The 16417-nt window shown below is 37.7% G+C and overlaps 1 protein-coding gene and 1 pseudogene across 29 annotated transcripts in view; one reads left to right on the top strand and one right to left on the bottom strand.

Moving 5' to 3' along the window:
* The window catches only part of NEO1 (neogenin 1), a 253515-nt gene that overhangs the window by 153450 nt on the left and 83648 nt on the right, over positions 1 to 16417 (bottom strand). For all 29 annotated transcript variants that reach the window (XM_047432591.1, XM_011521628.3, XM_011521633.4 and 26 more), the window contains one exon: positions 15730 to 15866. In XM_047432591.1, coding sequence (XP_047288547.1) covers positions 15730 to 15866 — 137 coding nt within the window. The remainder of the gene's footprint in view (positions 1 to 15729; positions 15867 to 16417) is intronic.
* Positions 8292 to 9655, top strand: FKBP1AP2 (FKBP prolyl isomerase 1A pseudogene 2; annotated as a pseudogene).

Raw genomic sequence — 16417 nt, 5'->3', positions numbered from 1 at the left:
ATAATCCCCACATGTTGTGGGAGAGACCCTGTGGGAGGTAACTGAATCATGGGGGTGGTTACTTCCATGCTGTTCTCATGATAGTGAGTTCTCACGAGATCTGATAGTTTTATAAGGGTTTGCTTGGCACTTCTCCTTCCTGCCACCATGTGAAGAAGGACATGTTTGCTTCCCCTTCCACTATGATTCTAAGTTTCCCGAGGCCTCCCTAGCCCTGCAGAACTGTGAGTCAATTAAACCTCTTTCCTTCATAAATTACCGAGTCTTGGGTATTCCTTCATAGCAGTGTGAGAACAAACTCACAAATAAATAATAGCTAAAATCAACTATTTCTAAAGACATGTAAAACAGGCTTGAAATTATATCAATTTTTTTTATTGTCCACTATTTTCAGGTATCAATAAGTAGACAGTTTCCTGACAGAACACTTTAAGAATTAGTTTTAATATGTCTATAACATGTACCATCTACCCAGGAAATCAACACTGTTTAGAAAATACCTCACAAAGGAAGATGCCAGAACAGCCAATATGCAATCGTAAAGTATTCAACATCACTACTCATCAGGAAAATGCATATTAAAACCATATAGAAATGCTACTATACACCTACCAGGATGACTAAAGTTAAAATGACTGACACCACTAAATGTGGGTCAGAATGTGGAGCAACCAGAACTCACATACACTGTTGGTAGGAATGTGAACTGGTATGACCACTCTGGGAAAAGGCCTGGCATACACTACTCAGAAATACTACTCATTAACAAAGAAGAACAGGTTTCTAATACAAGCAGCAACATGGATGGACCTCAAATACGTTATGCTTTGTGAAAGAAGCCTTAAACAAACAAACACAGACAACATGATTACTTTTATAAGAAGCTTTAGGACAGACAAAACTAATTTATAGTGGGGAATAAAAAACAAAAGAATAGACCCTCTGGGGTAGTAAGCAGAGGATTTACTGAGAAGAGGAATGTGGAAACTTTCTGCAGTGGTGGTAATATTTTATATTTTAATATGGGTTTTGGTTGTATAGTAATGTGTATTTGCTGGAACACATAAACAGCACATCTAAGATTTGTGCATTACACTGTATATAAATTTTACCTCGAAAGAGAAAAAAACTGCAAACAAAATATTAAAGCTTAGCTAATGATATGAATGCTTAAGGATCTGGGTATGTCTGCAACTTACTCTGAAATGTAACAAAAAATTTAGATTGATTAATATAATGATAGATATTTGATACAGCATTACAGTAAAATGTCAACTGAAGACTGAAGGTGGTGGGTATTTGCTGTAAAATTCCTTCAGCTTTTTATTATGAAAAATGTCTAACACAAAAAAATGTTGAAAACAATTATAAAATATTTTTTCCTTAGGAAAAAGTATTCTTTACCACCTTTGCTTTCTTATTGGGAAATTACTATGATTAAGATTTTTTAAAAAGGAGAAAAGCACTGTATTCTGAAAAATAGTTCTTTTAAAAAAATACTATGTAAAACATGATTTAAAAAGGATGGCAGACAGCAGGATCTTACAAAATGATTTGGTTTTGAAAATGGCACAGAACAACCATCTGACCCATTTCTCAGGATTTCAAAGTTCACAAGTCAAATTCAGTCCATGTAAATTCTGCTTTGAAACTACAAACTATTTAGGTCTGTGATCATTACTGAATTAGATCTTTCACAGGTTCCAGGAGCTGGGAAAGGTGTGTGTGCTGGGCAAGAGATCAAGGTGAGAGGGGATGAAGAAGGTTGGTAAATGGGTACAAACCTACAGTTGATAGAAGAAATAAGTTTCTGTGTTTGATAGCAACAATAAGGTGACTATAATTAACAATAACATACTATATATTTCAAAATAACTAGAAGATTTGAAATGTTCCCAACAAAAGGAAATGATCAATGTTTGAGATGATAGAAATCCCAAATATCCTGATTTTTATCATTAAATACTGAATGCATGTATCAAAATATCACATGTATCCCACAAATATGTACAAATATTATGTAGTAATTTAAAAATTTCTTAAATATTTTAAAAATGTTTAGATGTACTATCATTTCTAATTCATAATGTGATGTTAAGAATTCAAAGAATAAATTTATCTGTTAAAAATATCGTATCTTTTTTTTCCTTCTACTTTCTGCACAAGAATCACTGAAATCACCTGGACAAGAATAAGTCTCAAAGACATAGTTGACACGTAATCTTATAGTTTTTATCATCCTGGGACAGAAATGTCTAACTACTTCTCTGTATCACCTACTGTATCCTTGAAGATGAGAATGTGCCCTATATGTCATTGTATCTCCAGTGATACTGGATTCTGCCTTCTGCCTATTTGCAGTAGATACAGAATAAATAGTGTTTGAAAAGTATCTTTGCTGTTACTTTTAACATGGTCACTGAAACCCTGTTTTTTTTTTTTTTAGACCGAGTCTTACTCTGTCGCCAGGCTGGAGTGCAATGGCGCAATCTCGGCTCACTGCAACCTCCACCTCCAGGGTTCAAGCGATTCTCCTGCCTCAGCCTCTCGAGTAGCTGGGATTACAGTCACCTGCCACCACGCCCAGCTAATTTTTGTATTTTTGGTAGAGACGGGGTTGCACCATGTTGGCCAGGATGGTCTCAATCTCTTGACCTCGTGATCCACTCGCCTCGGCCTTGCAAAGTGCTGAGATTACAGGCATGAGCTACGGCCCCTGGACAAAACTCTGTATTTGAAATCATCAACAAGAAAAAAATCTAAACAAGGAATGGAGGGTCTGGGTGTGGCAACTATTCCTACCCTGCCCTGCTTCCATCTGAGTAGTTCCATGTTTATCTATTTTAAATATCTCACTTCCAATTATGATTTTGCTTGAGTTCCCTGGCCAAAAAAAAAAAAACAAGTTTGAAAACCACTGATATGATTTCAACCTAAGAGACTTCTCTGGCCAAAAAAGACCAAAGAAATCTTGGTTATCATTACAATAGGGACTGGGAAAAAGTAGAATAATTTAGATTCATTTAGCTTTTTGTCAGTTATTCTCAGAATTTAAATCACCATTCAATGCATGTAACTTTCAGATAAACTGAGGGTAACTGTGCTGCTCTGATATAAAATGCTCCTGTGGGGACCTGATGGGGTAAGACCCCATTCCTGTGTGTAAACTGGGTTTATATGAAAGTGCCATCAATACACCCTTAACAGTTAGGGGTAGAAATAGGTAGCGGGGGAAGAAATACAAAATGAAGAAACCTGTTTTAGATATTCTTTTCACTAGGACATTATCTTTCCACTGCCCACTTTGGAGCTCTTTAGTTTGATTTTTAGCAAGAAAGGGGGCATTTAAAAAAATTATAAAACTGCTCCACTTTTCCTGCTGTTCCTAATTCTATCATCTCTTTAATGAAGAAAGGGGAACCTAACTAAAATTGAAGAGGAGAATGGGAATTTCTTAAATGAAGTTTAAGAGATTCAATATATTTAATACAAGAAGCTTACTGACAATATAATTAAAATTACTAAGATTCTTCCTGTCATGGTTCTCTTAACCAAAGCTTGTAGATTTGATGATACCCCTTTAAGGCAGAAGAAATATGGTTCAATAAAAATAAGGTAGTAAATACTACATGAAAAACATTTGCCAGGTGCAGTATAATCTCATGCCTGTAATCCCAGCACTTTGGGAGGCCGGGGTGGGTGGATCACTTGAGGTGAGGAATTCAAGAACAGCCTGGCCAACATGGTGAAACCCGTCTCTAGCAAAACTACAAAAATTAGCCGGGCATGATGGCGGGTGCCTGTAATCCCAGCTACTCAGGAGGCTGAGGCAGGAGAATCACTTGAACCCAGGAGGTGGAGGATGCAGTGAGCCGAGATCGCGCAACTGCACTCCAGCCTGGGCGACATAGTGAGATTTTGTCTCAAAAAAAAAAAAAAGACATTCCACCAATAAAACTGAATATATACAATAAAAGAATATATATCCAAGAAAAGATAGTTAAAATTAATAAATAAGAGACCCAGAGTGGGCTAATTATTAAGGAATGCTTGAAATTCTGAGATCAAGACAGATAACCTAAGAAGCAGAGTAATGCCAACAATGATAGTCAAATCTTTTCACTTACTTCTGGGCTGGAAGGGACATGACTTTGTCCTCGTATTATCAATTGTTATGCTCTTTAAATAAAGAATGAAGAATATTTACTAGTATTTTGTCATGTTGTCCTAGATAGGCAGGAGCCCAGCAAGCACAGACTTAGGTGAGAAAGCCTAAGAAGCTAGACTGGGCATGAGGAATGGGGTGTGACTGGCTTGGCTCAAAGACCACAAAACATGGTGCCATCTGATGGATGGCTGGTGGCATGGAACAAAAGCAAACAGAAAGTTATCTGAGATGTCAATTTAAATAATCTAAGGAGGAAACAGAATCCTTTAGAAGGCAAAAAAGAAATCAAAGACAACAGAATCAAGTGAAGGAGTCTTACAAAGGAAAGATTCTCTGAGCCCTGGGAACATTAGCTGAGGTACATTTACTGAATGCCTATAATGTACCAGGCACTGTATCAAGGATATTCCTCACAACACCACCACAAAGAAGGACTCTTATCCCTACTTTACAAATAGGAAGAATGAGGTTCAAGTAAATAAATTAATTTGCCCAAGATCACATTGCCAGAGGCTCGAAATCAGGGATATGCTTCCAAAAACCATATATCCTTTCATGAGACCACATTCCTTCTGTGAAGCACAATGTTAATCTCTTAGTGGCACCACAAATCCATTTCTGCACCATGAATTTTGCTTATTTGTCCCACAAAGCTTCCTCATTGGGGTCATTTTAGTAACAAAAATCACAATACAGCTGAGTTTTTCTTAGGTTGCATTTTGCCTGATGTACAAACAGCAAACAGGCAGAATCTTCAGGTCTTTGAACGGCTCTTCTATCTGCAACATTTTCAGGGTCCAATATCATGCATCTGTACTCCACATAAATCTGAGTTCTAACTTTACATCATTAGTTCATTTTATTTCACATGGATATTTCTGGTCTTTTCTAGAATATCTGAAAGTTCTCTTCTGAAGGTGGTTAGTTACCATGGAAATGAGGCTACTGTGGTTCAGAATAAATTTACATAACTATTAGGAAATTATTTCAAGCTTGTAAAATGTGGAATTTATCTCAAAGCTAACATGACCACTGATGCAATAAAAATCTAAGAAGAACTGCAAACCAATCCAAAATGATTAAGGCCCCAATAAAGGATTATAAAGCAATTGTAAAGACTTTTCTAACATACAGTAATACCTTAAAAATATAAAGTTTATAAAGTGAAATTCTGAAATATTCTGAATACAGATAGCATACTATAAAAGAATGGATTATAATTTACTGTCTGACATCTTATCCAGAAGTACGGAGAATATGTTCTTAAGCAATCCGTTGTGGTCAAATACACAGCATCAGGCACTACTACATTAGGTGCTAAGGATCTAAAGATTGACAAGATCCAGTCCTGTCCTCAAAGAACTCAGTCTAGTAGGGTAGAAACTGGATACAAAAACTGGGGGGAAAATGTAAATGTGATACGTAAAACAAGACAGATAATGTATAAAATACATGTGCATAATTAATGCACAGCTAATGGAAGAAGGGTACAAGGGATAGGAATAGGTAGGAGTCAGAGTTTCAGAGGTTTCTGAGGAAAGCCAGGCAAGGGAGTGGAAGGAGGAACATTCTAGGCAGAAGTGATAGTACAAGCAAAATAACTGCATGGTGTTTTTAAGTAGCTAGTGGTTGCCCTTGAAATTAAGTTACCTTGAGAAGCAATGACAATCATGCACTCATTAATGGACTCAGAATCCAGTTCTCTCTCTGCTTGGAGCTTAGAAGAAAAATGATCCTTTCAAGATAAGTAAACATCCAGTATTCTGAAAATTACAGGGAGAAGGCCTCAAGAGGAAGATACATAAAGCTTCTTCCTAATTGGTGTGAGGCTAATTTTTATAAGAAAGTCAAGGATCTGATGCAATTTACAATGTAACTTTGTGGCACAAATCATACTTCTCACATGTTGCTTTGGGATCTTACTTTTCGTCATTTAATATACCCAAAGTATTTTCTCTTGCCATTTAACAAACTTCTAAAACATGATTTTTGTAGGAAGCATTGTATTCTGATACATAGGTAGGCTGTTTTATTTAACCAATCACCTATTTTTGGGCATTTAAGTGGTTTATAATTTTTGCCACTAAATATACATCATTGCATGCATACTTCCATGCATAAATCTTTGCACACATCCTTATTTCATCAAAACAAATTATCAGATGTGGAACTGCTGGTCAATGAATGTGTGAGTTTTAAAGCTTTTGATAAAATTACCAAACTGCCCTCCAAGGTTACATCAATTTGTACCACTACCAGCAGTGTATGAGAATCCCCATATAATTTTGCCAAGAGTAGGTTATTATTTTAAAATTCAATCAGTACGCAAAAATGGGCTACTTTAATCTGTATTTCTTATACAATTAGTGGGGTTGAACTCTTTTCAGGTCAACTGGCCATTTTCATCTCATTTCTGTAAGCAAACTATGTTTTCCACCTCCCCCCTTTTTTAACAGATATTAATCTTGTTCTTATTAATTTGTAAGCACCATTTATATCATTGCAATCATTTTTCCAAGTTTTTAATGAAAGAATTTTAATCACTTTTGCCACTCTGTGAAGAATGGATTTGAGGAGAGACCAGGTTAGAACTAGAGAAATCAGTTAGGAAACTACTGCAGTAATATAGGTAAGAGATGACTTGGACTTGAATCAGGGGAGTGAAAGCAAGGAGAAAGAGAATCTAATGAACTGAATGTGGAAAAAAAATAAAAAGATTGAAATAATCAAGAATGATTTTCATGTTTCTAGCACAGGTAAAAAGGTAGGCAGTGACACTATCAAGATACAGAAAATCAAAGAAGAAAAATATTTTGAGAGAAGAATGTTAAGTTCAATTTTGGACATGCGATTTCTGAGGTACCTGTGGGACATCCAATTGCAAATGTCTGAAGCTTGACAAGGGGTCTGGTCTGGGAATCTGGGCATTACTGTATGTAAATTATACCTGAAACCAGAAGCAGGTAGAGTGTGAAGAGTAGCAGGCTGACAACAGAACTCGGTGGAACACTAATAGTTTAATCAACAAGTGGAAGAAAAGATGCCCATGAAGGCAAAACAAAAGGAACGGGCAAAGAAATAAAAAGAGAAACAGCATGACACACTGGTATCAAGTCAAAGTAGTGGAGCATCTCATGGAGTTGGGATTAAAGACGTCAATGCACTTAGCTTTGAATCATGACAGTAATAAATGTGTAAGAGTTTTTAAAGCAGAGATGGCAGCCATGTGGAGGAAAGTTCACCTTTAATGGCTTCAGTTATTTTTTTTAATATTATGTTGGCTTATGGAAGGTATCAAAAGGTCAAAAATGGGAATGAATAAAACTGATGAATTGTTTGTAAACATGTATGCATGTGAAGGTGGCAATTATGACCTCAATCATAAAAGTAGAGGTAATGGTTCATCTTCCTCCAGAATAACTTTCAGAAGATTTTTCTTTTAATCCCATTTCTTTTACATTAGAAGTCTATGAAAAACAAAGTGCAAAGGAAAACATGAATAGTAAAGTAACCACAAACATCAAATCAAATCAAATCATTCTGGTGCCACATTTAACAATTTCCATTTAAAGTTTCATTCACTCATTCCATTCGTTAATAACCTACTATGATTTTTAAAAATGAGTAAGACCAGTTCCTGTTGATAAGAACTCCAGTCTAGTAGGAGTTGAAGAGGACATATAAACAAATCAGTAAGAAATACTACTGGTAAAAAGAGAACTATTTTAAGAAACCAATTATGAGGGGATGGTTAAGAAAAGCTTCACAGAGGGGTCAAGTAAACTAATCTTGAGGGTCTATCAGGAAATTGTAGTTGGAAGTAAGGGGACACAGGGGAACACTGCTATCAAACAGCACAGTATGTTCAGAAAACTAATTTGGTAAAGAGGACTCCATCTCCATTCCAGATTTAGGGGGAAAGTGCTAAGAATTTACTCCTAGTGCAGGACGGGGCGTGCGGGGGTGCCCATGTGTGCAGATGATGGACAGCAGGGATGAGGCAGAGCCTGGGAACCACTGACAGGTCCCTCTCAGTCCACACTGCCTGCCCACCGGCATCCGCCGATGTCCTGGGAGCGAAGGTGGAGATCATCTCCCCAGGAGTTGGATACCTTCCGGAAGCCGGGATGCTTTAAGATGGAAAGAAATTTGACTCTTCAAAGGACAGAAATGAGCCCTTTAAGTGTGTGCTAGGCAAGCAGAAGGTGACCCGGGAGTGGGAGGTAGGGGTTGCCCAGATGAATGTGGGTCACAGAGCCAAACTGAATGTATCTCTAGACTATGCTTTCAGTGCCACTGGGCACCAGGGCATCATGCCACTCTTGTCTTCAACATGGAGCTTCTAAGACTGGGATGGCAAGAATGGCCTCCTCCCTTGGCTTCCTGTTCTTACATCTGCCACAGAAGGATCTGGTGCCTCCAGACACATGCACATAAATCCATATGGAGCTTTTCCACATGTAGATCCACTACAACCTGTATAACATCTACCCTGACTGAATGCGTTCTGTCACTCAGCTTTGCTTCTGGCACCTCCATTTCCTCTTCCTCTTTCTTCTCATTTTACTTAAACTATATGCCATAAGCCTTAAGTTACTCAGTTTATTTCATTTTCACTTTGGGGTGATGATTCAGCTTCAGTCTTTTCGATCTAGTTTCCAAGTAAGTCTATGGTCAAATATTAACAGAACAAGTGACTGGTTAACTTTAGAACAGGATTTAGTGTTGTGGGGGGAGGTTATAAGAATCTTTATTTTAAATTTTTTTTGGATGAAATTTTAATCTATTATATACTAAACATTCTTGCTGTTGCGCTGCAAAGCCATAGCAGATCTGACGCACTCTTGAGGGCTGAATTATTCTCAAAGTTGAAAGATGTCCTTCGGTTAAATTAAAAGCCCTACCAAAAACTGAGGTGGGGATGGGGAGCCTTTGCCTCCATCAGTTCCACTCTACCCTCCCCTGAAATCCTCTGCCTTTTGAAAGCAGATCATTTTCACTGCGATGTTGGATGCTACAGGTATCTGTCCCTGGGCCAGCGGGGACCTCTGAAGCCTTCTTGGTGGCCTGGCTTATTTCCTCTGCCCCATCCTGTGGCTTTTCTAATGGACTTTCAGAAATTTTGTAATCTCATAACTTTCCAAGCTCCACCACTTCCTTAATTTTAAGAACTTTAATTGAAAGTATAAATTAAAGGTGTTGTTTGTAGACTTAACCACCCAATGAAAGCCCAGCTATCATGACAAATCCTTGAATGTTAAGCAAATGATGCTTGTCATCGCAGCTTCAACATCTCCTGTTTTCTGCCACTTGACTCTCTCTGCTGATCTCAACGTTTCCTGGCTTTTCCTTCTTCAGTCCCTTGTCACTCCTTTGATGTCCTGTGTAGTGAACTGGTGACAGAAATTGTTGCCCCTCTCCCCACAACATCACATATGAGTTTCCAATTTTATTATTACAATAAAAGTGCTTTATGCTGGCTCTTCTAAAAAAAAAAGAGTTTAATCCTTAAAACAACCCATTCAACTGATAAAAGAAACAAAGACATAGGTAAATTAATTAACTTGGCCAAGTTCACAAAGCTAAGAGACAGAGCTGAGACTGGAATCCAGGCGCACTGGGGCAAGATTGCTCTCAATCACTCCTCTGTGGTGCCTCTCCAGTTAACGCTGAAAAAGCCAACTATGAAGGATCTGGATGTACTCTGTATGTATGACATAAGGAATTTGCTTTTTATCCCGAAGCCAAGAGAACTAAGAGTTCTAATGAATGACAGCAGAATATTGTAACTGATCATGAAGTAAAGGGAAGTGAAATCACAAAGACTGAGAGAAAAGGGGAGATCAATGTCTTAATGTGGCCAGGGATAAGAGTAGAGCAGAAGAGTCAAAGAAGTAGAGTGACATAGGCTGTGGCTTAAGGAAAGACAGTGAGGTTTAAAACTTAAGTGGTAGATTAGTTATAGGTATTTACAATGTCAAAGGGGTAGCCAATTTAGAATTTATCCATTTGTTCCACAAAAATACAAATGGAAAAATTTCTTTTTGGTGGCACGGGAGACATGTGTATCACAGACTGTTGTAACTGTTTGAAGAGAAAAAGGAAAAGTTTCTGTTTTAAAAAACCCTCATGACCCATTTTAAGTGTTATCAACAATCTGAGATGACAGGAAATACATGATGGGCTAATTCACGTCACTGCATGTGTAGAAACTCCAGGAGTTAATGATAAGACAATAAATCTGAAACATTTAACAGATGAAAAATGAACTTACAACCTTTTCTACATTAACACTCACTATGGCATTTCCTATAGCTATAACTTCTTAAAAAAATAACAGAAGTCAGACAGGTATGACTGTATTTATATATATCTCTCCAACTATTTCTCAAAATCTGCTTTCCCTATCTGAAAAATAAATGCTTTCAATTATGGGACAGGGCTCAAAACAAAATTTTCCAAATATGTTTTTGCACATTATGAGTTATAATCTGTAAACAGTAAAAAAAGAGATGATCTCATGTGGCACACATGAACAATACAGCTTGAATTGTAACTACCACCCAGATTAAGAAACTGAACATAAACACACCAGAAGCCGGGCTGTGCAACATTCGGTAACGATTCTGCCCTTCTCCAAAAGTAATCAGTATTCTGACTTCTAAAACCATAGATTAGTTTTGTCTGTTTTTGAAGTTTACACAAATGGAATTATATATAACAATGTAATTACATATATATAGTAGGTATTCTTTTGTGTCTGGCTTCTTCAAGGGTGTTTGTGATATTTACCCACATTGTCGAATGTAGCAGTGATCTGTCAATATTCATTGCTGATAATTTGCCATTGTATGACTGGAAGACTACTCTACATTTGTATTTTGATGGAGATTTGAATTATTCCCAGTAAGAACATTATTGTGCATGGTTTTGGGGGCATATAATTATACATTTCTGGTAAGTATACTCCTAGGAATACAACTACTATATCATAGGGTATTTCTGTGTACAGTTTTTTTAAGTTTTTATTTTTTAGAGATGGTTTTGCTTTGTCACCCAGACTGGAATGCAGCGGCACAATCGTAGTTCACTGTAACCTCAAATTCCTTAGCTCAAGCAATCCTCCTGCTTCAGTCTCCTGAGTAGCTGGAAATACAGGTGTGTGCCACTATGCCTAGCTAATTTTTTCATTTTTTGTAGATATAGGGTCTCACTATGCTGCCCAGGCTGGTCTTCAAATCCTGGCCTCAAGTGATCCTCCTGCCTCAGCCTCTCAAAGTGCTGGGATTACAGGCATGAGTCACTGCGCCTAGCCAGTGTACAGTTTTTAATAGATTCTGCCAAGCAGAATTTTAAAGTGATTGTGTCAGTGTATACTCCTGTCAACAGTACATTAGAGTCCCCAGTGGTTTTCATCCTAACCAATGTCTGGTATTTGTTGAGCTTTTCAACTTTAGCCATTATAGTGGAATACAGTGATATCCCACTATGGTTTTTATTTGCATTTCTCTGAAGACTAATAACGACAACCACTTTTTCAAATATTAATAGCTAGCTAGACATCTTCTTCCAGGTCGATGTTCAAGTCTTTTGCCCATTTTCTATTGGTTTCTGTCTTTGTTTATCTTACTGATCTGTAGGAGTTCTTTGTAAAACCTACATCAGGGATTGGCAAACTTTTTCTGTAAAGAGCCAGACAGTAAATATTTTAGGCTTTGTGAGCCATATGGTCTCTGTCACAACTACTCAACTCCTGTGTAGTGGCATGAAAGCAGCCATAGGCAATACATAAATGAATGAGTGTGGCAGTATGCCAGTAAGACTGCATGAACAATAAATTTTGAAATCTCATAAAGTTTTCATGTATCACAAAATATTATTCTTCTGATATTTTTCAACTATTTAAAAATATATAAACTATTTTTAGCTTACAAGCTGTACAAAAACAAGCAGTCAGGAAGATTTAGCCCACAAGCTGTACTCTGCCAACCCCGGGTCTAGATAAAGATCTCTGTCAAGTAATGTATGTCTTCCCAGGGATTTATCAATATTGTTATGCATTACAAAGAACCAACTTTTGGCTTTGCTGACATTCTCTGTTTTGAATGTTTGTTTTTTTATTTCATTAATTTTTGCTCTTGTTATCATTTTCTTCTTCTGTTTTCATTGGTTTGCAAATATTTTCTCCCATTCCATAGGTTGTCTCTTCACTGTTGATTGTTTCCATTACTGGCAGGAGCGTCTCAGTTCAATGCAATCCAATTTATCTATTTTTGCTTTCGTTGCCTGTGTTTTCTGGGGTCATATCCAAAAAAACGTTGGTCTTTGCAAAGACCAACGTCAATAAGCTTTTCCCCTCTTTTCTTTTAGTAGTTTTACAGTTCAGGTCTTATGTTTAAGTGTTTAATCCATTTTGGGTTGATTTTTGTGTATGGTGTATATGTGATTTACATATATGAGATAAGGATCTGATTTCATTCTCCCACATGTGGCTATCCAGTTTTTCCAGGACCATCTACTGAAGAGACTATGCTTTCCCCATTGTATATTCTTAGCATCGAGAGAGCCAGGAAAAATCCGCACTGCTTTTTCTTTTTTTCCTTTTAAAAAAATTCTCTCCAAGTATGACAACCAATGCACAGCTTTTTATAAGCCTCGGAAGTCACATATGACTTCTGCCATACTCTATTGATCCAAATAGCTCCAAGCCTGCCTAGATTCAAGAGCAACGGACATAAACCCCACCACTCTATAGAAGGATAGTCAAAGAATCTGGGAGCTGTTTTAAAACTCCCCCTTTGTTTTTTTGTTTTTTTGTTTTTTTTTTTTTTTTGAGACGGAGTCTCGCTCTGTCGCCCAGGCTGGAGTGCAGTGGCGGGATCTCGGCTCACTGCAAGCTCGGCTTCCCAGGTTCACGCCATTCTCCTGCCTTAGCCTCCCAAGTAGCTGGGACTACAGGCGGCCGCCACTACGCCGGCTAATTTTTTTGTATTTTTAGTAGAGACGGGGTTTCACCGTTTTAGCCGGGATGATCTCGATCTCCTGACCTCGTGATCCGCCCGCCTCGGCCTCCCAAAGTGCTGGGATTACAGGCGCGAGCCACCGCGCCCGGCCAACTCCCCCTTTGTTTTAAAAGGCTCTTGCAGTATTTCCCAGGTATATCTTTTATTGAGTATTTATTCCAAAAGTGTTTTCAACGTATCTTTGTGCAGCAAACCTTCAGAGATCTTGTGTGATAATTTTTATTATGTCTCACATTTTGGATGCATATAAATTGTGTGTATTCAACATCTTTTAACACCTTAAAAAGATTACGCTATTGTCCTCCCGATACCAGATTTCTCAAATCAACACTTAGGTACAATCCAATCTTTTTCTTTTGTAGGTGATCTGCTCTTTGTCACTGGAAGCTTTTAGAATTTTTTTGTCTTTGATATTATACGTTACTGTATATATAATTATACATTATTGTATGTTACTGTAAATGGGCCTCAAGGTGGGTTTTTCCTTCTTTCACCTATTTAACAGTCTACTAGTCCTTTTAGTCTAAGGTGTTCTACAAGTCTAATTCTGAAAAATTTATCTTAATTATTTCTTCAAATATTTCCCTCTTCCTTTCTCTCCTCTAAGACACCTATTTATCTAGATAGTCCTTCTACCTATACCTATCGTATCTCTTAGATTTTACTCCATGTGTTATCTTTCTTTATCATATAATGCTGCATTCTCAGAGAATTCCTCAATGTAATCTTCCAATTCATGAGTTTGCTCATCAATGTTATACCTTTCTCTGGCTAGGCACAGTGGCTCATGCCTATAATCCCAGCACTTTGGGAGGCCGAGGCGGGTGGATCACTTGAGCCCAGGAGTTCGAGACCAGCCTGGGCAACATGGTGAAACCCCATCTCTACCAAAAATACAAAAATTAACTGGGCCTGGTGGCACATGCCTGTAGTCTCAGCTACTTGTGGGGCTGAGGCAGGATGATCGCTTGAACCCAGGAGGTCGAGGCTGCAGGGAGCAGAGATTGTGCCACTGCACTCCAGCCTAGGTGACAGAGGGAGAGGCTGCAGTGAGCAGAGACTGCACCACTGCACTCCAGGCTGGGCAACAGAGGGAGACCCTGTCTCAAAAAAAATCAAAATAAAACAAAATTTAAAAATGGGATACCTTTCTCTATCATGCAGATTGCTTTATTCTTTATTTTTAGTATATTTTTCATTCTTAATATTTCTATTTGGTTCTGTGTTTATATTTTCTTGTTTTTGCATCATATTGCAAATATTTTTCTTATCTCCTTAAATATATTTATGGTTATTTTTAATTCTTGGTCAGTCTTTTCCAGTAATTATCTATGAGATAGCATACATTATTCACTTGGTTGCCAATCTGAGAGTAATTGTATTATTCAGGTGTTCAGCTTGGCTATAAACTAACGTGCATCAAGGGTACCAACCACTCTGGTAATATATATGTTTGTGAAAGCACTAAAGGCCAGGTCTTAATTGTATCTAAATGGTGAACTTAAGAAAAGAGGAGGCTGAGGCCCCGAGCAAAGAACCCCAGGAACCTCAGAACCACTATGATTTACTCCAATTTGTGGGGCATTCCTCAGGCAACAGTCCCGGTCAGAGTTTCATTCTTAGGAGTGAAACAGCACTCCTAACTCTTAGGGAGAAACAGCACTGGGAGCAGTCTTCCTAGGTTGAAAGCTACCAATCTGGGAGTTTTGAGGGGGTGGGAAGAAGAGGTAGAAAAGTGACCTTTGGTCACTTTAGTCACCTCTAGCCAGCACTTGAGGGTACATTTCCATATGGAGGAATGGCACAGGAAATGGGGATAAAAACAAGACTATGTAGTCATGCCATCTTTATTTTCTGACGTCTGAATCAAAGAACCTATAAGGGGAAAAGGGAAGAGTAGGAGAAAAAGGAAGAACAACTACCCTTGCAGTGATTATCAGAAGTATGAAGAGAGGAAAATAAACACCAAATCATCAAACCAAGTTATATTGAGAGGCACAGTGTACTCCTTCCTGGGTGATCTGTTCACCCAAAAGAAAAGGACACCAACAGAGAGGAGAGAAATAATTCGGGGTCACAGAACAGAGACGTCTTCATCAGAAAACATCCTGAGACAAGAAAAGTGAATCTTCCAGATGCCCCAGATCATACCCTTCCTGTCACCACCACCACCACCACCACCACTACAAATAGTAACAACAATAACTAACATTGAGCTTTCACAATATCCTAGTCACTATTCCAGGGGTTTTATAAGTATTAGCTCTTTTAACCCTCAAATCATCCCAATAAGGTAAATATTCTTATTATTTCCATTTTACAGCTGAGGAAAATGAGGTTGAGAGAAATTAAATAAGTTTCCTATAGTCATATATCTAGGAAATATAAGATTTAGAATTTAAACCCAAGCAGTCTGGTCTAGGAGTTATGCTTTTAATTGTTTTGCTGTATTGCCTCGCCCATGTTAATATTTCTTAAAAATTAGCAGACCCAGAAAGTACACAGGATTTTTAAATTATACAGTAAATATTTACATACCTTGCACTGTAAGCTCTGCTTGAGCTTCAATTGTCTCATTTCCATTATCAGCTATACAAAAATAAGTCCCAGCATCATCCTCAGTAACATCACTGATCTCCAGGCTACCACCTGCCAGCAATACCAATCTTTCAGAGCTGTGTTAAAAAAAAAAAAAAAAAAAAGATACATTTCAGTACTAGGAAAATAATACCTGAAAAACTCTCCACATAAAATAGAGAAAACACTTAAAGAGTATTATTATTTATATAGCTATAGATGAACCAAGACTAATATAAAATTACCAGAATTTAATTTAGTCCAATTTGCTTTGCTCATATTTTACATGCATAAATATCACAAATGCAAATCAAATGTTACAATGAATTATCCCTGACACTTCTAGTTATTTCCAAAGGGGTATCACTCTTGGAACCAATTTCACTTCCTTCAGCCCATCCCTGTCTCCCTATTCTGGCCAGTTTTTTTCCAAATTATGTAATTTTGAAGTCTGGAATCAATCTGAGAGTTAGTTACACCACCACAGCTATGCCACACTGAGATTAATAACAGAAAGAAAACATAAAGAGGGCAAAATGTTAGATCCGAAACAGTAAGTCATGGGGTCACAGTGCCTACTGAAAGTTTCCCTATGGTAGCTTATCTAGGAGAGAGAGGAAAAGAGGAAGGGAAGAAAGAGAGAATGGTT

This window comes from Homo sapiens, chromosome 15, assembly GCF_000001405.40.
Source record: "Homo sapiens chromosome 15, GRCh38.p14 Primary Assembly".
Classification (NCBI taxonomy): domain Eukaryota; kingdom Metazoa; phylum Chordata; class Mammalia; order Primates; family Hominidae; genus Homo; species Homo sapiens.
The sequence above is the reverse complement of the archived record's forward strand: the minus strand, read 5'-3'. Positions and strand labels throughout refer to the sequence as shown.